At 46.6% G+C, this 27,165-nt stretch overlaps 1 protein-coding gene across 4 annotated transcripts in view, besides 8 other annotated features; it reads right to left on the bottom strand.

The window, feature by feature from the left end:
* The window catches only part of SLC6A5 (solute carrier family 6 member 5), a 59,678-nt gene extending 48,128 nt beyond the window's left edge, over nt 1-11,550 (bottom strand). Inside the window, exons 1-5 of one of the 4 annotated variants that reach the window (NM_004211.5) lie at nt 11,483-11,550; nt 9,493-10,029; nt 6,734-6,872; nt 4,020-4,151; nt 3,506-3,679 (exon numbers count right to left, since the gene is read on the bottom strand). In NM_004211.5, coding sequence (NP_004202.4) covers nt 3,506-3,679; nt 4,020-4,151; nt 6,734-6,872; nt 9,493-10,029; nt 11,483-11,485 — 985 coding nt within the window. In that variant the 5' untranslated portion in view covers nt 11,486-11,550. Of the gene's footprint in view, nt 1-3,505; nt 3,680-4,019; nt 4,209-6,733; nt 6,873-9,492; nt 10,030-11,482 lie in introns of those variants that run through there. The other 3 variants (NM_001318369.2, XR_007062528.1, XM_017018544.3) reach the window with 3 other exon arrangements.
* Nucleotides 679-748: an enhancer, noted in NCBI's record as "active region_4527". NCBI's record gives its function as "activates an Ori minimal core promoter by ATAC-STARR-seq in GM12878 lymphoblastoid cells {active_cell/tissue: GM12878}" and the evidence as "EXISTENCE:reporter gene assay evidence [ECO:0000049][PMID:35858748]".
* Nucleotides 679-924: a biological region, named in NCBI's record as "ReSE screen-validated silencer GRCh37_chr11:20631780-20631977".
* Nucleotides 727-924: a silencer, noted in NCBI's record as "fragment chr11:20631780-20631977 (GRCh37/hg19 assembly coordinates)". NCBI's record gives its function as "represses an EF-1alpha promoter that drives an FKBP-Casp9 reporter gene in an ReSE screen in K562 erythroleukemia cells {active_cell/tissue: K562}" and the evidence as "EXISTENCE:reporter gene assay evidence [ECO:0000049][PMID:32094911]".
* Nucleotides 5,147-5,316: an enhancer, noted in NCBI's record as "experimental_20091 CRE fragment used in MPRA reporter constructs". NCBI's record gives its function as "activates a minimal promoter by MPRAs in K562 erythroleukemia cells, with activity observed for both the introgressed and non-introgressed 11:20627473 variant alleles {active_cell/tissue: K562}" and the evidence as "EXISTENCE:reporter gene assay evidence [ECO:0000049][PMID:34662402]".
* Nucleotides 5,147-5,495: a biological region, named in NCBI's record as "Sharpr-MPRA regulatory region 9738".
* Nucleotides 5,201-5,495: a silencer, noted in NCBI's record as "tiled region #9738; K562 Repressive non-DNase unmatched - State 20:ReprD". NCBI's record gives its function as "represses a minimal TATA promoter and a strong SV40 promoter by Sharpr-MPRA in K562 cells {active_cell/tissue: K562}" and the evidence as "EXISTENCE:reporter gene assay evidence [ECO:0000049][PMID:27701403]".
* Nucleotides 5,662-5,831: an enhancer, noted in NCBI's record as "experimental_20084 CRE fragment used in MPRA reporter constructs". NCBI's record gives its function as "activates a minimal promoter by MPRAs in K562 erythroleukemia cells, with activity observed for the non-introgressed 11:20626958 variant allele {active_cell/tissue: K562}" and the evidence as "EXISTENCE:reporter gene assay evidence [ECO:0000049][PMID:34662402]".
* Nucleotides 17,583-17,752: an enhancer, noted in NCBI's record as "experimental_20054 CRE fragment used in MPRA reporter constructs". NCBI's record gives its function as "activates a minimal promoter by MPRAs in K562 erythroleukemia cells, with activity observed for the introgressed 11:20615037 variant allele {active_cell/tissue: K562}" and the evidence as "EXISTENCE:reporter gene assay evidence [ECO:0000049][PMID:34662402]".

Below are 27,165 nucleotides of genomic sequence, written 5' to 3'. Positions count from 1 at the left end.
ACTGGTTGGCATCAGCTGTTTTGCTGGAATTCGGGATCTGCTTAAGCAATTCTTAAACAAAAGCCTTATGATTCTAGCATCAGAAATCTCATCTATAGGAACAATGGGGATGCAAATGTACGTAGTGTTACTCAATTTTTGGTTTCAAGGAAGTGAGTCAAAAGCACAGCCTGATTAATGCTGATTATAACAATACTTCTGTCTAGAATTCTTGTTAACCCTGCAAGGACAGCTTTAGTAATTCTTGGCTGTGGGACCGTCCTGTGCATTGCAGGATATTTAGCAGAATCCCTGGCCTCCACCTACTAAATGCCAGGAGCCCACCCAGCTGCAACAACTAAAAACGTCTCTGAACGTTGCCAAATGTCCCCTGCAAAATCTCCCCTGGTTGAGAATCTCCACTTCAGGGCCTAAAAATATCTTCCTATTCAAAGTATCTTCTTTAATCAAATAACAGAGTTTCAGGAGGATTCCCACCTAATCATTATCAAATATTTACCAGGAAAGCTTTTGTTTCCCCCAGCAGTGACATAAATGAAGACAATTAAAGAACACTCCATATCTCTGTTCTGTAAATAAGCACATAAGTTATTTCTAGCCCTCCTGCCAAACATTACGTCCACCCAAGACGGGAGAGATCACTAACACGAGGGCAAACACCAAATCTCTCGATTCCCAAGTTGCAATTGTGAAGCACGCAGGCAGCCTCACTAGAGAGCGTCTCTGGATGTCTGTAGATCACTGCCGCCGCAGCAGCACAAGGTCACCGTTCCTGCAGCAATGCAGCAGGGTTCCCAGGCTCCCCGCTCGCTCGCTCCGCAGCCCCAAGCCTCCTGCAATATCCCCTCCCACCACCGGGCGGCAGGAGCATGCTTCCCAGCGCCCGGAGCCTTCGGGTCCACCCGCGAGGGAATGATGGGCCATCTCATCAGAGAGCTCTGCGGCCCAGCAACCCCGAACAAAGAACAGCGATAATGATCGTGCTAAATTGGAAGCTGTGGAATGGGATTCTCTTTACTTGGGCAATTATTAATAAATGAAAGCACATGAAAGACCAGGGAGAAAAGGAATCATTTAATTAAAAGTTGTAATGAAAATGAAGCCATTCCGGAAATAGAAATGATATTTATGTTGTTCCTATTTTACGTGACCCAGCTAGCTCCTATTTTCACGTAAAGCCGCTGGTCTCACTTGACAGGGCACAGACTAGTCATTCTCCATTACAGATACTTGGAGAGTTGAGTCACCCTAAAGACAGCAGCCTCTCTTACAACCTGCAGCACAGAAAGATGTGGCAAACGCTGCCTCTCCCCACCCACAGATCCAGGGCTTTCCTCTGGGGCTGGAGTGGGTATGGTTGCCTGGTATCCCCATGGAATGTGTCCCTTGCAGCACTGAGAGTGTCATGGGGCAGCTCCAAGCTGCACACGAAGGTCACAATAGCTAGCCATTCAGCCCCTCTCTCCTGGGATGAGTCCTTTTGCCCAGCAGTCACAGGATGTGGGTAGTTATGGGATTGTGAGAGAGAAGGTGAGACTGGAAGGCAATTGGTGGGAAATGCTGGGGAAAGAGTTTATCCATCTCTTAAGGAAGGCTTGCTCAATATGACCATTTGGGAAACAGCCTGGCAATATCCGTTGTCTAGACTCCTGATTTGTCCAGCAGAGCAGTGGGGCTCTGCAAGTCAGGCCACCATCAACTTTTCTAAGTCACCCCAGAATTCCAAAGGACCAATACACCTGCAAGGGATAGCCTGGCGCCAGGAACAGAACACACTCATGTGCTGATAACACAGAGAATGACAGATGGAGGGGCTGCACAAAGAAAGAGTGTGGATTGACACCTTGTTTTTCTTTTCACCAAAAAAAAAAAAATTAAAAATTAAAACACTGGGTAAGAATGAGATAGGATCTGCTCAGCCTGGTCATATACTCGCAGGAAACAATCAGCGTGAAAAATGTACATTGTCTCCTTGTGCTCAGAGCTTGCATCATTTTAATGGTTTGTACCAGATGAGTAGGAGCTGAGCTGTGTCATATCTTTGCTCTGCCTTTCATGTCTCCCAGGCGATGGTGAGCCAGACTGGAAGCCAGAGACAGGGGCTTCTGTGTCTCTTGTGCCTCCACCCATGTGCCTGATCCAGTCAACATGCTCAGCCTGCTTTAAACACACACACACACACACACACACACACACACAGAGAGAGAGAGAGAGAGAGAGAGAGAGAGAGAGAGACAGACAGACAGACAGAGAGAGAGACTATAAACACATGTTCATGGCAGAAAATGCAGAAAAAAATGTCATCTCTCTGGGTCTGCGAGAGGGAAGAATTCATATTTTTGCCCTTAATATACTTGAAGGGTTAAATAGTGTCCTAGTTCCATCATGAAAAAAGCTGGTTTTGGAGGGCAGCACTAAGAGCCGATCATACAGAGATCACAGGAAGCTGGTCTCAGCACAGACCTAGCTGAGGAGAATTAACAGATCTACTGGGGAAAGAAGAAACTACTTGTTTCTAGGTTCCCTTTAAAATGACGAGAACTTCCAAAGTGACTGCTACTAGCACCTTTTATTTGTAGAGTTATATGCTTCTGCAACTGTATCACACTCCTCATTTCTTTTCTCCTTACAGCAATCCCCACAAGGTAGGTAGAGGAAGAACATTTTTATTTCTGTTTTTTAGAGAAGGAAAACAGATCCAGAGAGAGTTACTTGACCCAGACATACATACAGTCAGTGACAGAGGTATAGACCAGAAAGACTTTCTGACATAGCTGCCCTACTTCTCCTCACATTCACTCTCTTGCCCTTGACCCAAGAAGCTGACACTTTCTGCCAAGGCCTCAAGTCCCAATCTATTTCACATCTGAAGCATCTTCCAGGAACACTCCCTGACTCCCCAGTATCTTGCCCTCTTCTAGACACTACATTTTTATCAGAGTGGTCTAAGGGTCCACTCTCATATTCACCTCATGCACTGAGCAGTATCTTGTGAAGTCTGGCCCCAGGATCGCTCTCCTGGACTCTAGGAATTAGACCATCACTTTTCAAATTGTACCATGCAGATAAGTCACCTGGGAACCTACTTAAAATGCAAATCTATTCAGAAAGGCTAGGGCGGGGCTTCTAACCACCATCCAGGTAATGCTGCTAGTCTAAGAAACACTATAAAACAAAATAAAATTCTACAACGACTTGTTAAAATGCAAATTTTCTGAACCCAACCAAATCTATAAATCAGACTATCTTGTGGGCCTGTGAACCTGCATTTTTAACAAAGATTTCAGCTATTCATAAGCAAACAAAAATTTGATTAAGCTTTCCTCTGGGCCAGGAGCTCCTTAAGTTTTATGTTAGAATTAAGTATATTTGATAGTTTGATGTAATCTCTGTGTTCCCAGAACCTAGTATAGGTCCTAGCATGCATAATATATGTTCAATTATTTTGCTGAATAAATGGATAGTTTAGAATACACACACCTAAAGCAGGTATTTCCAAACTTACCTAATAAAAGTTTGGTTTTATCTTTGCATTCTGGCGTATTCCAAGGGTTGTTGCAGGAGCCCCAGGGTAGTACAGACACAAAGGAGGCAAACAGGTAGAAAAGTGTATAGCAAATAATCACATTGTAGTATATGGCTATTAGGACAGAGATGATCAGCATCGCGATGCCACAGCCTGCAGAAGCAAAAATTCCAGGGGTTCATTCCATCTTAAATGCTATGGAATTCTTAGAGTTGGGCATAGGGTGGGGACCTAGGTCTAGGCTCTCTTGTACAGAATGGATGCACTAATAGCAGAGTGGACTGTATGTCTACCAGGGATATGAAGGCATTCTGCTGGGAACTCAACAATGCCAGAGGTGATCTTGGGCCATTATTCAGAAGGATCAAATAAAGGAAGGAAAGAGTTAGTTCTATTAACCACAAAGGCAGGTCTCCCTCCCTGGGGCTGCATGGTGCCAGAGGGGACAGAGTAAGAAAGGGCCTGAGGAGGCTGAGCGGCAGGCTGGACTCACCTTGTAGAGCTGGGATGGCCTTCCACACAGACACTGGTCCCTGGCTGGCAAACTGGCCCAGCGACACCTCCAAGAAGAAGATGGGTAATCCAGCCAGAGCCAGCATCATCAGGTAAGGGATGAGGAAAGCACCTTGGAAAGAGAGTGGGGAGTGAGAGCCCTAGGAGGCAAAAGCAGGCTGCTGCCCTCCTTAACCCTCTGGGCTAGGGGCTGAGCTCCCTCTCAAAGAACTAAAGGACAATTTAGCTCCATTCCTGAAGAAGCCCTTTGATGTCCTGTTTCAGCAACAGTCACCCACAGATATTTAAGAGCCTTCCTCCAAAAAGTATAAGGGTACCCATGCAAATACACTCCTTATTTCAACTCTCCACTGGCAGATGGCTAGGGATATGTGCTGATGGGTTTTTATTATTTTCTTTTTTTATTATAGCACTTCAGTTTCCCAAAATGAAGCCCTCCCAGAGCTCAACCAGTCCATGCCTTTGACTCACTACTGGATTCAGGTTGGTGAAATCTTATCAGAGCCTCAGCCCTCCCAGGACCCAAAATCTTCTAAGCTAAACTCCAGGAGCCCTCCTCTACAGTAAGTTACCTGAACACCTTCTGCCAACCAGGGTTGGGCAGGCTCTGCCAGACAGCCATTGGGGAATACCCATCCTTCTTCCTAAACCCATCTCCATCCCCATCACACACTTCTCAACGCCCTTCCCCATATGAGAAGTTCCTTCCATCCTTCAAGGTCAACTCAAATGCTTCCTCCTCCAAGAAGTCTCCCTTCTGAGTCCTCCCACAGTACCTTTCTCCAGGCACCGATCACTTGATAATTTTTATGTAAGTGTCTTATTCAGCCTGTGAGCCCCTAATGTTGTTTGCGCTGCATCTCTTTATTCCTCAAAATGCCCCGTCTAGGGCAATAGTACTTGGCAGGCCTCCATAGAGTCACTGAGACTTCTCTAGGGTTCTTTCCCTTCAGCATTCTTTGAGGTTGTTTGGGAGGGACTTGGGGAATGGTCATGATTTTTGAAAAGGTTTTGACCAGAACATGCTGCTGCATGGGCCAGAGTCAAGGTGGGCACTGGAGATGCGCGAGCGCAGAACACTGGCCTCAGCGGAGGGAAAACTGATCTTTCTCCAGTCTACTCTTCATGCTCCCGCCCCTCCGCACTTCCTGTTTGATGGCAGGGCCTTTCCTGCCCGGGGCTCTCCAAGCCAGGAAGGCCCAGGGGCAGCCGCCGGCTGCTGGGCAGTAAAACCGGGGTCCTGCTTTATCCTCTCAAGACAGGGATTGTGCAGTCCTCCTCTGCTCCTGAAAAGGAGCGGCGAGCCCTCCACCCCGCACTGAGGGCTGAGGGGCCTCGAGCCGCAGTGTGGAACAGGCTGCCTCGCATCACAGAGCCTGGCTCCTCCGGAACCCTGAGATCTGCCCCGCCGCTCTTCGCAGATCCCGGGCGGGCAAAGCGCGGGCACTTGCGCGGGCCAACCTCCTTTTGCTGGAACTCCCTCCCCATCCACTACCCTGATAACCCACTCCCCTTCTAGTCACTGGAAGCCCTGTTGTAGCATCCTGGCCTGAGGGCGCCCTGCGGAAAACCAAACGGGAACCTATCTGGGTGCCTCTATTCGTGTGGCCGGTACCTGGTCTGTTTTCAGGGCACCCCCGATGGCAAATGCTCTGAGGTCCTCATAAGTACTTGTCAAAGTGTCCTAATTTGGAACTGGAGAGGACGGGAGTAGTGGCCTATGTTTTGCGCTTTAACCGTCCGGTGGTGCAGCACCTGTCCGTTCTGCTGCAACAAATTCCGCCTGAAGCGGACCCAAGAGACAAAAACAAAAGAACAAAAACCCTTAAACTGCCTGACCTATGGGGTGAAGCAGTGCATTGCTTGTCCCTTCGGTCCGGTTGAGAAGATGTGGGACGGGGCTCTAGGTTCAAATTCCTATTGCTAGAGAGCGGCCGGCCCCGCGGCACCCAAACGCTGGGAGGGCCAGAGGGATCGTGAATGTGCCAGGTCCCTCCTCGGTGGGTACAGAAGAGGTACAAGGGAGCATAGTGGCCCAGCAGCCGATGCAAGCCTAACTAGTGTCCTCCCCACCTCTGAAACGGCTTTCATTCAACAGCAGCACCTTCCCCCAATTTAGGGCAGATGAAAGAAACTTGTTTTCGCTGTAAGATTTTACTAAAATCAAAATATGTTCTGCTTCAAGAAGCAGAAGAAGGCGGGGGTGGCAGGCACTTCTGAGAGGTTTTTGACAGCACAGCCTCAACCCCTTCCCCCTCACCTCTTAGATCTCCTAAGGAGTCCCCTAGGAAGACAGGATATAATCCTGAATCAGGGCTCCAGGACTGCACAGCTGCTGGCTCTAACCTCGTTGGATGCCCGGAGTGCCGCCGCTCTCTGAACACTTGACCGCTAGCACCCGTGCTTACGTGGCTCAGGACCCAGGCCCCAAAACTGGGTCAGTGGGGGTTTGTGGGTTCTCACTCCTCCCCTGTGTCCCTCTCTAGATAAGATACTCCGGGATCTAATGCCGATCGATTATGGTCGCCCCCGCCCTCTGGTTATGCACTCAAGCCTACGAGGTGTAGGGCTGGAGCCTAAGGAGGCTGTCCTGAGCCTCCCCGCCCGGCGGCCCTGCCTGAGGGCTCCTGTCCCACCCAACCCTCAGGTGCCCGCCCCGCCCCGCCGCAGGCGGAAAGAGCGGAAAAGCCATACCTCCCCCGTTCTGGAAGGCCAGGTAGGGAAACCTCCAGACATTGCCCAGCCCCACTGCGTACCCCACCATGGACAGGATGAAGTCCAGTTTGCTGGACCAGTTCCCTCGGGCCTTATTCTCATCCCCTTGCTCGTCCTCCTGGGGGCGGAAAAGCACATTGTCGATAACAGCCCCGAGTAGGTCCACAAGCAGGCCCCTTCCACCCTCCCCCCCGCTAGGGGTCCTTCCCAGCAAGCAGGCTCCCACTTCTCAACCGAGGATGCATCAGCAAGCAGGACCCCAAATCTAAAGAAAGGATGCATCTACAAGCAGGGACCTCACCCCTCAACCCTGCACTGAGAGTCAATCAGCAAGCAGGTCCTCAATTCTGATCTGAAGATCCATCTTAAACAGACCCAAAACCCCTCTTTCCCAGATCATACAGTCAGGGCGCACCAGCAAGCAGCTCTCCCCAAACCTTGAACCTGTAAGGTGATTGCAAGCAGGTCCCTCCATCCCCAACCCCTTACCAAGAATTTATTTGGCAAGCAGGCTCCCCCAACATCATGCCTGGAGTTCCCAGCAAGCAGGTTCCTAATTAACCCTCTCCCACAAAAAAAAACCTTCACCACACCTCCTCCTCAGCCATTTCTTCCTTTAGAGTGTGTGCCAAGACCAGAAAGAGAGCTGCAATGCCGAAGCCAGCCAGAGCCCCTGCCTTACTTTCTTGACCAAACCAGAACCTGCCTGGTCAACTAATTTAAGAAGGCATCCTTCAAGACTAATGCAAGGGAGATGGGCAGGAGGGATATTTGAAGGTGAAACAAGACGGAAAACAAACAAACAAAAAAGGTTGATATGGGAAGAGACAAGCCATCTACGACCTTGAGTTCTGGTCTAAATTTTGCTACTAACCAGCTGGATAACCCCAGGCAAGCCACTTGCTCTCTCTGAACCTCCGTGTCTCATCTGTAAAAGAGGCTTAGAATGACTGTCCCCTGAAGCCCTTGCCAGCTCCAGCAGTCTATGAATCTTTGAAGCTCATTTCTTCAAGCTCACACGAAGATGCTTTCTTGGGGCAGTGCCTGGTCCTGGAATGCCTCACTAGTAAGCAGGAAAAATGGGGGGAGACCACCCCAAATAAACTCTGAAAATGTTCAGGACACCTAGACACTGCACAAAGCTTTCCAGGCACTCAGGCCAACACACAGTTTCCACCTTCTCAGTCACCCTTCACCTCCTATTGTAGTAACTTGCTAGGTCTCATACTTTTCTACAGGGTGTGCAGGACACAGCAGCAGCTGTCAGGAGAAGTCTTAGGGAGAGAGAAAGGGCCAGGGTGAGTGTCAGAAAGGCACAATCAGAAAGATGGACAGGGCTGAAAATAAGTACTTCCAGAAACCAAACATCTTTAACATCCTCCCTCTAATCCTCCCACACACAGACCACCTCCATTCCTAATCCCACCCTTCAATCCTTCCAGGGCTGCAAAGGGTGGGAGTTCCAGCTCCTTCTGCCGCAGTGCGGAGGTTAAGCAAGACAAGTGAAACAAATATTCTGCTCCACCTGGGGTCACACTGTGGGATACATGCTGTCAGAGGCAGATAATATACATAGAAAAACACTCCGGATGTGGACCCCGAAAGGAAAGGCAAGTGGGAGATTCTATGTTTATTTCTAGTTCTGACACCACAAGCTCCTGCTATGTGGGCCTGTGGATAAGTGTGAATGTGTATGTGTGTGTGTGTGTGTGCAAACACTAAAGTGACTAAGGATAGAAGGGTTGTATAAATCCTAAACCTCACACAGGCACAAATTTTGGTCCAGGCCCCACTGCTGGATATATGCATAGCCCCTGAGGCCAGGAAAGGAGAGGAAATAGCAGAAAGGCAGGCAGTGAGAAGGGAAGAGCTGAAGTTGATGAAAAAGGACAGAAGAAAGAAGAGATCAGAGAAGGAAGGAGAGAGACGAGAGGGAAATTGAAGAGAACAAAAGCCTATATGAGAGAGTGGGCCACCAGCAAAAGCTGCCTTTATTCATAACCCAAGGATTGGGATTTGCTCTGTGGGTTTTTCACGCCTCTAATTAAGTAGTAAAGGATCAAATGCAAGAGGGGATTAAGATTGGTGGGGCTTGAAGCTTATACAATTGAGGGAGGTTACTTTAGGGAAAAAAATAGAAAATTATGGCAAAAGTAGACACCAGGTTTTGGAAGGACCCAGGCAAAGGACAGGCCCCAAAACTAAAGCTTCAGTAGCCTCAGGTAAACCCACCTCGCATCAAATGAGTTCTCATGTAATAAAGGTAACTGGCAGTGTAAAGGCTACAAAACTTAAACTATTATCCTCCTACCCCTCCATCCCCAGCCACCACCACGTGGCTTTGTTCTGAATTTTAACCCTCTTTTTGTTTAATTAAGAAATTATTTTTGAAAAGAAAAGACAGTCATTGGCAGGAGAGGGAGTCTGTCTGCATAAAAGGGTGGAATCTATCTTCCTCAACTCTTTCGTGGATCTGGACCTGTATTCCCGCTACCGCCAAGGCTGGGAAGGGGCAGGTCGTGGCCCCTCTGGCAGGGTCACTGCAGCCCTCGCGCCCTGAACTGCCGACCCCAGCGCAGTGCGAGCTTCCGAAGCCCCAAAGCCGCCTCCCGCATCCATCACCTGGCACTGCCAACCGGTTTCCCCATCAGCATACGTGCACCCGCCACGGCCCGGCTGGCCTCTCTCGCGCAGCTGGAGAGCAGGACACTGTGCGGGCCGTAATGCAACCTGCTTACCTGGGTGGCAACGGTGGCCACGCTGCCCGGGAGCACGGACGTGATTCCATCCGTGGCCAGCACCACGGTGCTCTGGCTCATGTTCACCCAGCCCACAACAGGGGTATTGTTCCGCTCCAGGGTGCCCTTGCCCACACTCACGTTCGCATCCCCCTCCGGGCCTCGCAGAAAAGGGATCTTACAGTGCAGCGCGTTGCCGGGCCCGGAGCTCCCGGGAGGGGGCGAGGCCTGCGCGCCTTGCGCCTCTCTCAAGTCCCGCAGAGCTGCAGAGGCCGCCTGCGCCCGCGGGCTACTGAGTTTGCAAGACCCCACTCCTGGCCGCTCAGCCTCGCAGGCTCGCGCGTCCGCTGACTGGAAAGTTTGGGCGCCGGTGGAAGCGGACCTGGGCACACGTGGCGGCGGCGGGGCGGCAGCCGCGGGAAGCTCCTGCTCCGGGCTCGTCCTGGGAGCGCATGGGCCATCCGGGTGGCCCTGCGCCGCCGCCGCCTCCGGGCTGTTGGCTGGCAGTTTATTCATTTCCTTGGGAGCACTGCAATCCTGCAAACACAATGTCAAGTTCGTGCAAAACAAAGTCACAACAGCTTTTAAAATACCTGTATCTAGATATGGAGACGTTCGCAACTCAGGTCCAGACACAATATCTGGGGAAGCAAATTGGAATCTGAACTTTTTTTAAAAGAAAGGCTGCAATCAGTATTTCTCAATTTGCCCGTTTCATCAATAACCAGATGACAAAAAGAAGCTAATATTCCCTCCCTAGTGGAGGATGAACTAAGAAAAGAGGTAGAAATGTAATTTTGTAAGGGTAAAGGGGGAATGGAAATAGCCCTGGAGTCATGAGCTCCCCTCCCTCTTTGGATTCCACATCACAGCTGTGGGTGCCCGCATCCCCATCACCACTGTAGAAAGATTCTTTAATTTTCCGCCCCATTTCCTTTGTCATTCAACAATGCACACTGCCTTTTTCCCCCATAGACAAGCTGTGGCCACAAAGCTGATGCCCTGGCACCTGCGAGCGCTTGAGGCCAAATTGGTTGAGTCCCAGCGCTCCACAACCCACCTCCTCCCGCCAGGTAGCAAAGACAAGGTTAAGAATCACGATCAAAATAACCACAAAAAAACCTACAACGATAATAAACTAAATTTAAGACACAGAGTAGTAACTAGATTTGTTATCTTACACAACTCGTATTCACTTCCAGATTCCCAGACATGGAAAAGAATATGCAAAGCTTTTTGTTCTTTTGTTTAGGTCTTCTTCTTCTTCTTCTTCTTCTTCTTCTTCTTCTTCTTCTTCTTCTTCTTCTTCTTCTTCTTCTTCTTCTTCTTCCTCTTCTTCTTTTTTGCGTAACTATTCACAGGAGTCTAATATCCTTCACAACTCTAAGCTTGCTTGAGTACCAAAACTCATGACTAATTTTTATTCGCTTTTTCCCAATTCACTTTCAAATGAAAAGAACTGCCAGCGGTGGTTTTTCTATCCACTTTCTCCCCTCGTGTTATCTTTCACGGCTTCCTAAACATTAGCACCAATAATTATTATTACACTGTAAGAATAATCCTATTATCTTCGCCTCCACCGCACTCCTCTCGTCTAACCCCCTTTCACAAACACGCAGAATAGAACTCCTCGATTTGCACAAATCTAGGTACCTCGGCTTCAGCCAGCATTTGTCTCAGTAGCCTCTAGGACCCAGAGCAACTCGCCTCTGTACCGGCATCTGGCTTTTCAGCACCGAGGACAGTGCCCGGGATCGGGTCTTTAGGAGCCACAGCCAACCTCTCAGCTCTACAGCCTAGGAAACCTCTTTGCGACCTCAGGTGACGCTCACAAGTACAAATACCTAGGGCTGCGAGAATTGTTCTCCTCGTCGCCCCCTTTCCCCCCACCCAATGCACAGACATCTCCAAAAGAAATAGCCAAAACGAATCTGCTTTCCCTGTCCCCTCAGCCCCCTTTCCTCTTGAAAGAACAAAAGCAAACACTCACCATGTCTGACACAGGCAACAGACTGAACTGGTGGAGGGTGAAACCCGCTATTGACAAGACTGGGTTTGGCTCAGGCAGGAGAGGCGCTTTCTATATCTCCTTGGGAAAGGCCGGGTTTGCGTCAGTGCAAAGCAAGGTGCCCTTGGTTTGACATTTTCTTGATAATACAAGTTTGATAAATCATTACCCCCTTGGATTCAAGTTTTAAAGGGACAACAGCCTAGAGTATGCTGGCCAGTTGTCACTCCAGCGGGAGGGGGCTGCGTGTTTGGCGTGACTCATGTGGTCTGATTACTAAACCGAAACCGGCAGGAGGGGAAGACAGAAGTTTGCCTCCTCCTAATTAAGGGAAACATGGGAGGGACACGTCCCACTGCACCCAAGGCAAGGCGCAGCCGCCAACAGAGTGGATCGGGCTGTAGAGGAGGAAGGAGGGGGTTAAATCACTGTCTATTCTTTCCCTTTCACTAGATTCCATTGCTGTCCCCCCTTATCTTCAGGGATTCCGAAAATATTACTCCGAAAGAGGTTGAGGGTCTGCGCATAGCCCCACAGCTCTGCGATGACTGAAGCAGGCATGGGTCCTGCATTTATCAAGGTGTACCTACCTAGCATGTATGTGGACTTCAGATTCTCACATCCCTACCCTTCCAGACAGTCAGTCTTGGAGGAATCCTGGGGTTTTTGCTTAAAAATTGTGATCTGGTATTTCCGTTCCTATTTCTGTTATCACAATCAAGAGAAAATTCTGAGTATAACTGACCTTTTTCATTGTATTTTTAAGCTTTTCTGAAGACGTTTTAGAGAAAGAAAAACGAAGTTTTTCCAACACAGACCTAGTTCTTAGGTCACTTTCAAAGTCAAGGGAAACCCATTCTTTCTTTACAGTCCTTTCAATAAAATCCTACAAGAGCCAGGCCTGATTTGGCAGCGCGGGACCTTAGAGACCGTCCAAATCGGGATGCCCAGCAATGCGGGGGAGGGGGAATGAGAGCTGGCAATCTGCAAAGCCATGCCAGGATGTTCAACCGTACTGTGGCGGGGATGGGAGTGGGGGTGGCCATGGCGATAAAAAGATGGACTTTCTTGTTGTGTGTACAATGCAATAGCTATAATCAGAAGAGGAAAAAACGCCTTTACAAAGAAGGTGTAGTTTGGAGACTAGAAGGGGATTATCAGCAAAATGCTTCCCTTCTCTCCTTCCTTGCCGGTCTAGCTCGGGGAACCCCTGGCCTCGGGGATGAGGAGCCACAGACAGCACGTTTTCCCTTCCCTACTGCCAACAGCCCAGCCCACTGCCTCGGGGTGCGCGCCGTCGCCAGCGGCTGGGCCGTCCCACGCGGCGGGAGGACAATGCCGCGGCGGCCGCGGCCGCAGGCGTAGGCTGCAGTGGCAGATTGCGGCGGGCGCCGGGGGCACTAAGGGGCACCCTCCTGCTCCTCTGGAGAGCCCGAGAGTGTTTGGATGCCTCCGCTGGTTGGCTTTCCCGCCTAGCCCCTCTAAAGGGCAGCTGGCTGGGGACACACGGTCTGCATTGCCTTTGGTGGGGGCAGGAGGAGGAGATCTTTCTTTTGAGACGCCTTGAGGATTTCAGGTCGCTTTTTATTGCAGTTTTGAGCTAACGTCTATTGAGATCTCAATACTCAACCATTGTGCAAGGGATATCCATGAATTATCTCGGTTAGATTTAGCAATGGCCTTTCAGAAACTATACCAATTGCAAAGCTGAGGAAATTGGGGCTCAGAAAGTCGCTTTTGAACCCTGGAGAAGATCCCAACCACCTCCCGCCGGGCTGTCGCTAGGGTCAGTCGCTCTCTCCCCGGGGCCCGCTCGTAGGGAGAGGTCGGGAACGAGGGTTAAGAGGGTAGGGTGGGCTGTGGTGGACTCTGGCTGGAGGAGGGTCGTCTGAGTGGGTGGGACTGAGAATTCCGCAGGGGTGCCTGCTCAAGTTCCGGCTGGCGCTGAGAAGCACCCCGCAGGCTCTTGGCATCTTGGGGGACGCCAAGGGGACCTACGAGTGTTTCTGCCTAAACAGTCCCCAGTTTCCGAGAGGGCTCAAGACGAATGCGAGAACTGTAGAAGGCAGGCCTGGCAGGCAGGCTCGGGCTCAGAGAGCGATCGGCCGGAGCGGTACCACGAGGCGGGCCCAAAGATCGGTGTAGGCCTCCCTCTGCGGTTCCCCGGCCGACTTCCCCGAGGGACAGTCACGACTTTGGAAGGTTCTGGCCAGTTTCCCAATTTGCATTTGAGCAGCCCCCGCAAAGGGCCAGGTGCGAATGGAGAGTCTACGCGGCGCCCGGACGTTCCAGGGCGCACAGACTTGGCTGCCCCGGGAGGAAGGGAGAACTGCGCAGAGTGGGCAGAATCCTGCCGGCCTTCTCACTTCCCCCAGCTGCGGCCCTGGGCCTGAGTGACGCCCAGCGCCCCCGCTCAGCCCCCAGGCCTGATATTTCGCCCGCTGGCCCTCCCCGGCCCAGTGAGCACTTGGGTTCCGGCGTGGAGACTGCCGCGCGTCAGGCTCTGCAGAGGCGGGTGACGCGCAGGAACGGCTGCGGGGTTTGGCTGAGGCGCTATTCGGGCTCCCCGCCTGCCCCCACTTTCAGCCGCAAGATTCTAGAAGGGAGGGGCTACGTGGAGAATGGAGGGAGGGTCTGGAACGGAGAGGCCTAAGAGGGTTCGCTATGAGGCCAACGCTGGGACGGAGGGGCGGGCATCAGCAGGGCTTGAAGGTTGGGCTTCAGGGGCGGGAGAGAGCATGCGGAGGCAGGAAGCCAGGCCCTGGGGCAGCAGGTCGTGCGTATGGGTGTGTGTCAGCGCCTACGAAGCGCAGAGGATGGAACCGCAGTATTAAAAAACAAAAACAAAAAAAAAGAAGAAGAAGAAGAAGAAGACCAGCCGCACGTCCTCTAGACGCGGGCCTCCGCCCCCGCCCTCCGCGGACGCCTGTTTATAGTGATAATCAGGCCCAGCGCGCCGCAGCCAAGGAGGCCGTAAATCCGCATCCATCACCGCGCAGCCATTCGGTCTGAATTAGCCAGTCACTACGGCCTTAATTACTTTGTCAAAGATGAAAAATAGTAATTGATTTTGTCCTCGATCACTTTGTTCCCTCCTCTCCTGCCTTGCAGATAAGCAAATAAATATTTTTGAAAACTCGTGTCCACTCGGTTGTATGGGGGTAGCCTTCTGAAAAACAGGCCATCCGGTGACAGTCCTGACGCCAGTGTTACTGCCAAGACACGAAACGCCAGCTGCAACCCAGACAGGAGAGGGCCCAGAGGGCGGCCTACCGCATTCAAGTCGCTGCCCTCCTTTGCACTAAGGAAGGAGAGAGGAGGGAAAGATACCGGTGTTTTACAAGCTATTGCTCTGGCGTTAGCGGGGCACTGTGGCACCAGCCTCCTCTGGTCCTCAGGGCAGCATGCAAGAAAGAGCTGCCAGTGCGACTGACAGGCGAAGGAACGTGTCCAGGGTCAGAGGGCAGAGCCTAGCTTTGAGTCCCTGTCTGTGTTGGCTCCTCTCCATCCACCACATGAGGGATAGAGTATGAGCGCCTATGTCTATGTTTATGTGATTTTAACATGGGAGTCGTTAACACCTACAACTTCCATAGATGATGGATGTGAGGGCTCAGTGTGGGTTTCAGGTGACATGGCCGATAGTCAAGAAGCCATGCCGTATTTTTGTCCCACTTGTCTACTACTGCCCAGCTCCATTGCAGTGTTGTTCTGTGCTAAGAATGTGGGCTCTGCAGACACACTGCACCACTTCCTAGCTCTGTGACCTTGGGGGAAATTCCCCATCAGTAAAATGAGCATAATAAAAATTAACCTACCTCGGCCGGCGCAGTGGCTCACGCCTGTAATCCTAGCACTTTGGGAGGCCAAGACAGGCGGATCATGAGATCAGGAGATCGAGACCATCCTGGCTAACATGGTGAAACCCCGTCTCTACTAAAAATACAAAAAATTAGCTGAATATGGTGGCACGCACCTGTAGTCCCAGCTACTTAGGAGGCTGAGGCAGGAGAACAGCTTGAACCTGGGAGGCGGAGGTTGCAGTGAGCCAAGATGGCGCCATTGCACTCCAGCCTGGGAGACAGCGAGACTCCGTCTCAAAAAAAAAAAAATTAACCTAACCTCAAGGGTGGCCTGAGGATTAAACGAAAGAACGCATGCGAAGTGCCTAGATTGAGATTGGCTACCCGGCATACTTTCAATAAGCTATTGTTAACAATATTATTCAGTCTAAAGGAAACATATGTTTGAAGCCTCTCAAAATTAGCAAATAAGACAAATCCCTCTCCCTGGGTCGGAAGGTTTAATATGGGTAGACTTATGCAGAATAGAAAACCTTACAAAATACGTAATGATTGTGCAACATTTTCCCTCCTCATCCAGTGTTTGGTCGCCCAATAATCAAGTATTTACCTTTACTAAATGAAAATTAGGAGCATCCAGGAAAAGTGCTCAAATACAGAAGCTGCTATGAGTTTTTCCTGAGGCACTTTTTGTTTATATGAAGGTAAATTTCAGTATAAAGAAAGGACAGAAGCTTGGAGCTTCATAATCAGCCTCACTGTTCAGTTCTCATCTGAACCCAGGGGTGTCAGGGAAACACAAGTTAATCAAAGCAAGCATCCCTCATCATAGCATTTCAGAAGAGCTCATACTTGGAAATCAATGGTTCAGCTAAATAATCAGTCTGTGCAAAATGCAGGTCCAAAATTCCATGACTCAGACAGGCAGAACGCTTGTTCCTGAGTCAGCAGTAATGATGATTCTCACTTCACTGCAGCAAAACACAGGGCAGTGGGTGCTAGCGCAGAAGCAGAGAAGTATATGACAAGATGAAAAGGAGTTCAAGGTCATCTATAGTTCCACATGCCTGCCTTATCAGTGAGAAAGCAGAGTTCCAGGTCCAGGGAGGAAAAGTGAGTACTCAAGGTCATTTGACAAATTAGAAACAAATTCTAGTGGCATCTCTTTAAAAAAGAAAGAAAGAAAAAAGAACTATATTATCCTTTGACCCAGCAATCTCACTCTTAGAAATCTATCCCAGAGAAATAAAAAACCATAGTGCAAGAGTGTTTATTATAGCATAGTTGATAAAGTGAAAGCCTGCGGAAAAAAGAAATAGCCACATTAGATCATTAGAGTATCTGCAGCGTGGAATGATTTGTAGCTGTTAAAAAGATTGAATTAGAACCATTCAGAGATTGGAGAGATTTTCATGATGTATTGAGAAAAGCCAGATACATTAAAGTATGTATAATACAATCTTATTTTTATAAAATAAATAGTAACTAAAATGCCATGTCTGTCTGTCTCTCCCTCTCTCTTCTGTCTGTGTGTGTGTGTGTGCGCGCGTGTGTGTGTATGTGTTCTAGTAAAATGTGACGCACACACATAAGTTAGTAGGTAAGATTACTGGTAGACAATGTGGGCATTGATGTGAGCTCAGGAGACGAGGGAAGAGCCAAGCAGAAAAAGTGGACGGAGGGTGACAAAGATTGTACTTAAACAAAAATAGTTCTACTAGTCATACTTATAAATTTATGTAAAATATGTATAAAAAATTTAAAGGAAAGAATTCAGCACTAGAATCTATTGCTTTAATTAATGAGAATATTCACCGAGGCTTTCATTAGGAAGTATTACCCCTACGCCTATTTTATTGTCTTTCTCTGAAGAGTAGAGCTCAGAAAAATGAATTCGGTTAATTAAGGATCCCAGCTACCAATATGTGGCTAATCCTCCTTCCTCAGGTCATCATGTTTCTATCTCTTAGCTCTGCTGGGGTGGAACCAGGGCATAATTAAGACCTTCAGAGGACACAGTCTTGGAAAATATGATGCTGCTCTGCTACCCCCACCCTTATCCTTATAATGTACACTAAACTATAAAGTAATTTACATTAAAATTACACCAAATTGAAAATTCCTGATTTCTAATTCTTCCATAATGATAACATTAATGTCTTTCCAGTAAGCATTCACCCCTTTCCTCTGCTGCCTTTCCTCTGCTATCCTTTTGGTAGTCGTGCTTTGCTTGTTGCATATTTTTGGTGAAACTACTCAGTAATCTCCTTCCAGGTATGAGTCTTCTGTGTTTATCCATCTGCTGAAAGTTCCCGAACCCCAAAATGGGAGATACTAGCCTTGTAAGAGGTCAGATCTTGTAAGGTCTCAAATATATTTATTATGGGAAATAGGAGACTTCTAATACAAGAGAATTGATAATGTGTCTGCAATGTTGGTGAATAAGATTCTCTTTTTTTCTCTTTCTTAAATGTTTCCCTGGTCTTCTTTTTTTGTCCTAGTTGGTGGGGCAATGGGGGGTGGGGAATTAAGTTCAATGTCAGGAAAACCTAGCAGGAATTCCCACAAGTAGAATGAAACAGATGTTGGAAATCTTCACTGTACAGGCAGTTTATGTAGTTAACCAAGGCTATTGGGTGGAACATGAAGAAGGTTCAGAAAGGTACAATGGTAAGGATGCTAATCCATGAAGCAGAACTTGGAAAATTCAAGAGAATTTATACCTGTACAGAACTGCTAGACAGCATTAACAAGCTTTAGGACCTTGTGATTTTGTCACTGGGTAGCACCCTTGTAAATTGGGTCTAGGGGACTATGGACATTGGCACCCCATTTGCAACTGTTGGTTCTAGCAATCTGTGGCATCCAGATTTCTAAGACCATTTCAAACAACGGCCTGGAGGAGGCCACCTATGCCTACCATTTTTGGCAGACAATCCAGAGTTAATCATTATGGTAGTTGTCCCTTGGAATTTCACCATTAGAGCTTGGAAATGATCTACAAATCTTTTAGAATAATCTCTTAGAATCTACATTCTATTTCAGGGTGTTTCTATTTCAGTTTAAACATCTTTCTGGGTGGAGGGTAACATTATATCGTGAAAATAGGGCTTTAGTAGTACACATTAGTCAAGAGTTTGAACCAAGTTCAGCCATTTGTTAACTATGTGTTCTTGGGAAGCTAATAGCCAACGTGTGGCTAACTAACATTTACTTATCTGCAGAGCCTCACTTTCCTTTTCAATAAAATGGAGTTCCTTTGATTGATTAAATAAGATGAAGTGTATAAAAGCTTCTAGCATGGTGCCTGGCAAGAGCTCCTTCTACTTTGAGATACCAGAGTTGAAAGTTACTATCTGAAGTCTGACACTATGCCCTTAGAGATGTACCCAGATGACTCCTTTCTACACATCTTAATATTCCTGGATTTGTTCACCAAATCTTTATGTATTTTGCCCATCTTTCTTCTTTGGTTTTTAAAATAATGGGCCATTCTAAGGACTTTATTCTGCCCATCTTTTTTTTTTTTTTTTTTTTGAGACGGGGTCTCGCTCTGTCCCCCAGGCTGGAGTGCAGTGGCGCTATCTCAGCTCACTGCAAGCTCCGCCTCCCTGGTTCACGCCATTCTCCTGCCTCAGCCTCCCGAGTAGCTGGGACTACAGGCTCCCGCCATCACGCCCAGCTAATTTTTTGTATTTTTAGTAGAGACGGGGTTTCACTGTGTTAACCAGGATGGTCTCGATCTGCTGACCTGGTGATCCGCCCGTCTCAGCCTCCCAAAATGCTGGGATTACAGGCATGAGCCACCGCGCCCGGCCTCTGCCCATCTTTCTTGATGGGAAATGAGCTTTGCCTGTTTTTTTTTTCTTTTCTTCAAATGGGTTCTTTTTTCTATCTCTTTACACTGCACCTCCCTTAAAATGCCAAGCCCATCATAACGCTATGCCTTTGCCACTGCAGTGTCCTCTGCCTGCAATGCTCTTCCTTCTAGAATGAATTTCTACCTATACGTAAGACTTTGCCCAACATGTATCTCCTCTTGGAGGTTTTTTATGAAAAAAGTTAATATCTCCATTCTCTGTGCTTCCCTAGCACTAGTGCATTGTAATTATTTATTTCCATGTGCATCTTTTCAACTACAACAGCTAATAGCCAAGTGTGGCTACTGTTATTTTAATTAATTAAAATAAAATTAAATGCAAAATTGTATTATTCACTCACACTAACTATATTCTTAGTGCCCAACAGCTACTTACATTAGACAGTACAAAGAACATTTCTGTTAATTGCAGAAAATTCTACTGGACAATACTGTTCTAAATTGTGAATGCTTCAAAGGCAGAAATGTATGAATTTTTTAAGCCTCTTTCCAACTTGTACTGATATGCAGTAGTATTTTTGAATAAACGATTTAAAAAGTCACAGAATAGCCTCTTAGTTTCTTACATGCCATCTTACTATCTTTGCTAAACCATATTTTTGTATTTTATTAGTTTTCATTTGTATTATATTTCTGATTATAAAAATAATATGGGCTTAATATGAAAAGGTTGGAAAAACTCCCCCCAAGAAAACATAAAAATACACATTCCTATCTAGCCTAAAATGTATCTTATTAATGTTTTGGTGTAGAGCTTCCTAGTCTTTCATATGTATAGAGACGTAGTTTTTGTTTTTACAAAATCGAGATCATGCTATTCATATTGTTTTATAATCTTTTTTCACTTATATTATTGATATAGTTCCATTTCATTGCCATAAAATTTACATCATCATTTTTAATTACTGCATAGATTTTCATAGCATGAATATACTACAATTTAAGTAGTAAACAATTACTATGCATTTGAACTGTTTCTAATTTTTATTTTATTTTATTTTGAGACAGGGTCTTGCTCTGTTGCCCAGGCAGGTGTGCAGTGGCACAATCATGGCTCACTGCAGCCTCTAATTCCTGGGCTTAAGTAATCCTCCTTCTTTGACCTCCCAAAGTGCTGGGATTACAGGCATGAGCCAATATACCCAGCCATTTCTAATTTTTAAGATAAATAGTACTATATTATATATATTTCTGTCTATATACATCTTTGCTCATGTCTCTAATTTTGATTCGTAGTGTCGGTTCCTAACTATGGGATTACTTCCTAAAGGAATTGCACATTTTTCAGAATTGGATTCATCTTATCTGGACCAGTTTTTCTGATGACTGCCTTCAAAATGGAGACATGGAGCTGTGTATGAAGATGTAACCAAGCTCTGAGCAGAGAGTGACAGTGCTCTGTGCTTTGTTTTCATTCATTTTCCTAACGATGCTCAGCAATCTGTGAATACTTCTGGCTATAAAAAAGCCATGGGAACAAAGACCATACTATGTTTCCATAAAGAATAAATCAGTTTTCTCTTTAACATAAAGGAATTTTTTATGGAAATAATATTATTTGGTAAATACAAGTATTTGTAATTGTCAGTATGCACAATATGCAAATTTTACAACTATTAGGACTCAAGCAAATAAGCTCATCTGTTTACACAGGATTTAATTAAACAATTGCAAGAAATAATACAAACATTGTTAAAATGTGGAGGATTTGTGAATGCTTCTTCTGCAGTGGAAATGCCTGATTCAGGGCTCTCTCTGGTTTCTGCAGATTATGTGGATGATGACATGTTTTTCCAAGTCATTAACCTGGGCACAGCTTTGGGGCCAAATGAGAAGCTACATCCAAACCATTTAAGAGTCTGGGTGATTGGTGGGACTGACAAAGGAAAGACCCTCTGTCATTGCCCACGGTGAGAGCATTTGGGGAGTGTGATTGTCTGTGACGATGCACGGTTCAATGATTCCATTGTTTCACGAAGGCCTGGTTTCACTGATACCAAGGGAAAAAGGTGGGCTGCGCCCACACGGGCAATTAAGGTGATGTTGTCAAAGGCATTTAGAGTGATTTTTTTCCCTTAGAACTCTATTCTGTCACTTTTTGGCATTACAAGGTCTTTTGTATTACATTATGGAAAAAAATAAGCAAAAAGAAGAAAATAAATCACTTCATCAGGACTCTTTTTCAATTGCAAGGGATAGAAACCCAACTCAAAACTAGCTGACGCTTAGGTGTCAAGTAATGGACTGGTCAAGGTAAAAACGGAGCTCCCTTCAGGTAGGCTGGATCCAGGCTGCCCACAGCAACAGGATCCTCTCTTGGAGTCTCGGCCTCTGTGGGTCCATTTGTTGCATGTTTTCAGACTCTTGTGTTGTAGGTGTCTTGTGACTCAAAGATCTGGGTTCCCATGCTCATAGATTGTAATCCAAGGGGAAATAGTATATCTCTACTTCAGGTTGGGAGGTTTGGGGAAAGGAGGCTGAGATGGGGGCTTTGATGCAGGTAGATTATTTGGGAGTCCCAATGAGGTAGTTAGGGAAACAAGAAGAGTCAATACAGAGCGCATTAATGAGTAGGTTACCTCTGTGGACAATTGGATTCAGGCTCACCGGGGTCCCTCTAGGGTACCACGTGGGACACATGTCAAAGTTTTCCCTCCAGGGGACAGGGAAGCTAGAAGGTGATTTGTCCACAGACTCCCACCCCTTATTGGCTGAGGATTGTTCCTGAGAGTATTAAATCCTCAGCACTTGTGGGCACTCTACAGTTGGGCTGAGCAAATTGCTACAGCACTGGAAAAAGGCGTCAGTAGAGAAACAGAGAGACGTGATGGCTTGAAGTGGGGAGCTGTCAGCATGCCACAAATTGTCCAATACGACTGCAGGTGGACTTGCAGATGGGCCAAAGCAATATGGGCTGGGACATCAAAAGCAGCTGCTATGATCACCTTTACTTTCTTCCCCACTCCTTAGGCCAATCGCTCAGTACTTTGATAAGACCAAAGTTGGCCACATGTCTGCCTCTCAAACGTGGTGGGCAGGCAGCATGCTGTGAATGGAAGCTTCATCAAAATCACACCTGGAGAAAAGGAGGCAGTTTTCCAAATAAAGAATGGGGTAGCAAATTAGTTCTCAGAATAAGTGCAGGAGGGATGATGGACAGACTAAATAATAATAATAGCAATAAACAAGATATTCACTTCCAAACTTTAATCCTATTTTAAGGTTAAAACCACTGAATGTTTTAGTAAACATCCTTCCGGATTATGTTTATTTATGCATTTTTTTCCTTATAAACTGGGATAATACTAGAATTCGTATGTTTCATACCTGCATTTTTTACTTAACCATATTTAGTAAATACTTCAATATGTAATGAACATTTTGCTGTACATGATTATAAATATCGTAAAAGTACAGTTGACCCTTGAACAACATGGCTTTGAATTATGCAAGCCCACTTATACATGGGTTTTCTTCAATACAAAATACAGTGTTGGCCAGGCGCGGTAGCTCACGCCTGTAATCCCAGCACTTTGAGAGGCCGAGGCAGGTGGATCATGAGGTCAGGAGTTCAAGACCAGCCTGGCCAAGATGGTGAAATCCCATCTCTACTAAAAATACAAAAATTAGCTGGGTGTGATGGCGGGTGCCTGTAATCCCAGCTATTCGGGAAGCTGAGGTACAGAATTGCTTGAACCCGGGAGGTGGAGGTTGCAGTGAGCCGAGATCGCGCCACTGCACTCCAGCCTGGGCGACAGAGCGAGACTCCGTCTCAAAAAACAAAACAAACAAACAAAAAACCAGTGTTACTTTTCAATAAAGTCACACTGAGTGTGCCTGTCTCCGGCCTCCCCTTCTGCCTCCTTTACCTCTTCAGTCTCTGCCACTCCTGAGACAGCCAGATCAACCCCTCTTCTTCCTCCTTCTCCTTAGCCTATTCAATGTGAAGACAACAAGGATGGCTTCACAATGATCCACTTCCATTTAATGAATAGGAAATCTAATTTTTCTTCCTTATGATGTTCTTAATAACATTCCCTTTACTCTAGCTTACTTTACTGTAAGAATACAGTATATAATACATACAACATATGAAAACGTGTTAATCAACTGTATATGTTATCAGTAAGGCTTCACATCAACTGTAGACTATTAGGAGTTAGGTTTTAGGAAGTTATACCTGGATTCTCAGGCAGGTCACAGTGGTTCAAGCCTATAATCCTAGCATGTTGGTTGACTGAGACAGGAGGATCACTTGAACCTAGGAATTCGAGATTAGCCTGGGCAGCATGGCAAAACCTGTCTCTACTAAAAAGACAGAAATTAGCCCGGCATGATGGCACGTTCCTGTAGTCCCAGCTACTGGGGAGGCTGAGGTGGGAGGATCACTTGAGCCCAGGAGGTCGAGGCTGCAGTGAGCCATGATCATGTCACTGCATTCCAGCCTGGGTGACAGAGAGCCTAAAAAAAAAAAAGAAAAAGAAAGAAAAAGAAAAAAGAAAGAAACAAAGAAAGTTAGTTATATTTGGATTTTTTACTCCACGGGGTTGGTGCCCATAATTCCCACGTCATTCAGGGGTCAACTGTATGTAAAATGCATCAGTCAATATACTTTAAATATTTTCTCCCTACCAATGACTTTTGATTAAAAGTGGACTGGGAGGATAAATAGATGAAATCCACAGCAGTGCCTCTGCCCAGAGAAGAATATTTTAGTGGTAGAACTTCAGGCATCAGAGGGAGCTGTTAAAAAAAAAAAAAAAAAAAAAAAGCACCAATTTCAAAATCATAGAGCTCAGGATTTGAATTCTTATTACTAGCTATGTGACATTGGTCAATTGATTTAATCTTACAAATTTCATATCTTATTTTACATATAGTAAATGCTAAATAAAATGGTAGCATTCATATTATTATCTAAAATGAGAACAATCACCCTTTCCTGGCAGTATTATTATGAGGCTTGAATGAGGTTATGCACGTTATGTGCCCAGGAGACAGGCTGAGACATAATAGGAGATTAATTAACAATAGCTTTCTCCTATGATCTCTTAAGCTTATTATTTATTCATTTATTTATTTTGAGATGGAGTTTCACTCTTGTTGCCCAGGCTGGAGTGCAATGGTGCAATCTTGGCTCACTGCAACCTCCGCCTCCTGGGTTCAAGCTATTCTCCTGCCTCAGCCTCCCGAGTAGCTGGGATTACAGGCATGCACCACCATGCCTGGCTAATTTTGTATTTTTAGTAGAGATAAGGTTTCTCCATGTTGGTCAAGCTGGTCTTAAACTCCTGACCTCAGGTGATCTGTCCACCTCGGCCTCCCAAAGTGCTGGGATTACAGGCATGAGCCACCGTGCCCGGCCCTCTTAAGCTTATTTTAAGGAAGACTTTATGTCAGGCATAGCAGCTAGGCACCACAGCAATGAAAAGAGTGCCTTATGCCCAAAGAACCTCCTGAACACAAAGATTTGTACTATGCCACTATCACCAATTCAAAATTCATATAGTATCATAACTAGGGTTTGGTTTGGTTTTGTTTTGCTTTGTTTTGACAGAGACTTACTCTGTCGCCCAGGCTGGAGTGCAGTGGCACAATCTCAGCTCACTGCAGCCTCAACCTCCTAGGCTCAGGCAATCCTCCCACCTCAGCCTCTTGAGTAGCTGGGACTGCAGATGTATGTCACCACACCTGGGTAATTTTTGTATTTTTTGTAGAGATGGGGTTTCACCATGTTCCCCAGGCTAGTCTGGAACTCCTGGGCTCAAGTGATCCACCTGCCTTGGCCTCCCAAAGTGCTGGGATTACAGGCGTGAGCCGCTGCCCCCAGTCTAACCAAGCTGTTTTTTGTTTGTTCGTTGTGTTGTTGTTGTTTTTTAAATGCAACCTACTCCTAGAATAACTAATTACGTGTTTTCATCCTGGTATAAACTTTATCACATTGCTTTCCTCATTACAGCTAGCTGACATTTGCAGTATCCATAAACAAAACCTTAGTGAAGAGAGAAGTAAAGACAGTTTTGTACCATTTTGGTGGAGTGTTCAAACAGGAGAGAGATTTGGGCTGCCAGAAAAGAATATGATGTGCCTGAACTTCAGAGGGGTCAGAAGAGAGGTACTAGGAGGTGGGAAGATCCCTGAAAAAGGTACACTTTCTCTCCTGATTTTCAACTACTTTCAATCACCACTTTCCTAGAATTGCTAATATGAATGAATGAATTTGTTCCAATTGAACTGAGCTCCAATTTACAATCTTTTTCCCTGGCTCTGAATGGAAATAGCCCTAAATTAGGTTATCAGGTGACCTTGGATAAATTACTAGCTTCTCTGAGATTTCATTTCTACGGTTGTAAAATGGAGATAATAAATCTTGCTATGCCTAACTCTCAAAGCTGAGGTGAAGATGAAATAAAATAATGGAATTCAGAGAGCTGGGTAAATTGTGAAATATCATGCAATCCTAAGAACTTGGATCTCAACTATTCGTAGACCTGAGGCCTACAGATCCGTTTTAAATCATTCAAATGTCCATGTATGTGCGTGTGTTGTGGGGGATGGGAAGGTGCATGTTTCTTGAAATGAAGAATTATCAAAAACGTTACTTCCCTGGCCGGGCGAGGTGGCTCACACCTGTAATCCCAGCACTTTGGGAGGCTGAGGCAGGCATATCACGAGGTCAGGAGATCGAGACCATCCTGACCAACACAGTGAAACCCCATCTCTACTAAAAATACAAAAAAATTAGCCAGGTGTGGTGGTGGGTGCCTGTAGTCCCAGCTACTCGGGAGGCCGAGGCAGCAGAATGGCGTGAACCTGGGAGGTGGAGCTTGCAGTGAGCCAAGACTGTGCCATTGCACTCCAGCCTGGGTGACAGAGTGAGACTCTGTCTCAAAATAAAAAAAAAAATTAAAAAAAAAGTTACTTCCCTAAGGAGAGGATTACTGATAGGCCCAGAATGAGAAAAAATGCCAGTGAACTGGATGCAATAGTCTGTTAGCTGTATTCCCCACATTTTTTTCTCTTCCTCTTCCATAATAATTGAGTTTAGCTGGACACATGGCAATTCAGTTACAGATGACATATCTAAGCCTTCCTTACAGGTAGGCTAGCCCTTGTCACTAAGTTCTGAACAACAGGATGTGAGCAAACAGATATGTGCTCTCAGAGACTTGCTCTCAAAAAGCTTAAGCATGTGTCTCCCCCCCTTCCTGTTGGCTGGGGGAGGATGAAAGCTGAAGCTGTCACTATGGACCTACAAGTCAGAGCTACATGTTAAGAATGGCAGGCTGCCTACCAGCCCAGCCCCTCTTATCTCTTAACAATGACATAAAGACAAATAAACTCTTATCTAGTTTAAGTGGCTGTCATTTGGGGTCTCTTTGTTATAGCAGCCTAGACTTACCCTGACTAACATGCCAGGCCTTCACACAACATCAACCTGAGCCTGCCCCAGGTGGAAGCAAGCAGCCATTTGTCAAACTGAGGTAATATCCATGCAACTGACGAGATCCCCTGCCACCCTAATTGACTGACCAGAAGACCAATAAGCCATTTTTCTCGAAAGCCACTTTCTATCACCCAGGCCTGCCAAGGTCACTTATGCGAGGCCAGCAGTATGTGTCTGAGATTAAGGGCAGAGCATGAGTCACCAGCACTACTCCATTACTCTGTGCTGCTGTTTAGTGGGGCTCCCAGAGGCAGAGCAGAGTATGTGCTCATCAATCATACCTTACTTATGATGAGGCTGGCTCTTTGTATGCCTGCTAGGATCCAGATACCACGTTTGGCATTTTAAATCCATAGCCTCAAGGTAGGGGGTATTTTTCATACCAAGAAATAGTCTCAGAAAGGTTGAGTGAGTTACCTGAGGCAACAGAGCCTAGATGCCAAGGCAGATTGGGATAATTCGACAGCTTGTGCTTCTCCCACTGTGGTGCTGCTTTCAAATAATCTGCCTCCTTCCAAGCATGGCTGAAGGCTGC

The sequence above is a fragment of the Homo sapiens genome, chromosome 11 (genome assembly GCF_000001405.40).
Source record: "Homo sapiens chromosome 11, GRCh38.p14 Primary Assembly".
Lineage (NCBI taxonomy): Eukaryota > Metazoa > Chordata > Mammalia > Primates > Hominidae > Homo > Homo sapiens.
The sequence above is the reverse complement of the archived record's forward strand: the minus strand, read 5'-3'. Positions and strand labels throughout refer to the sequence as shown.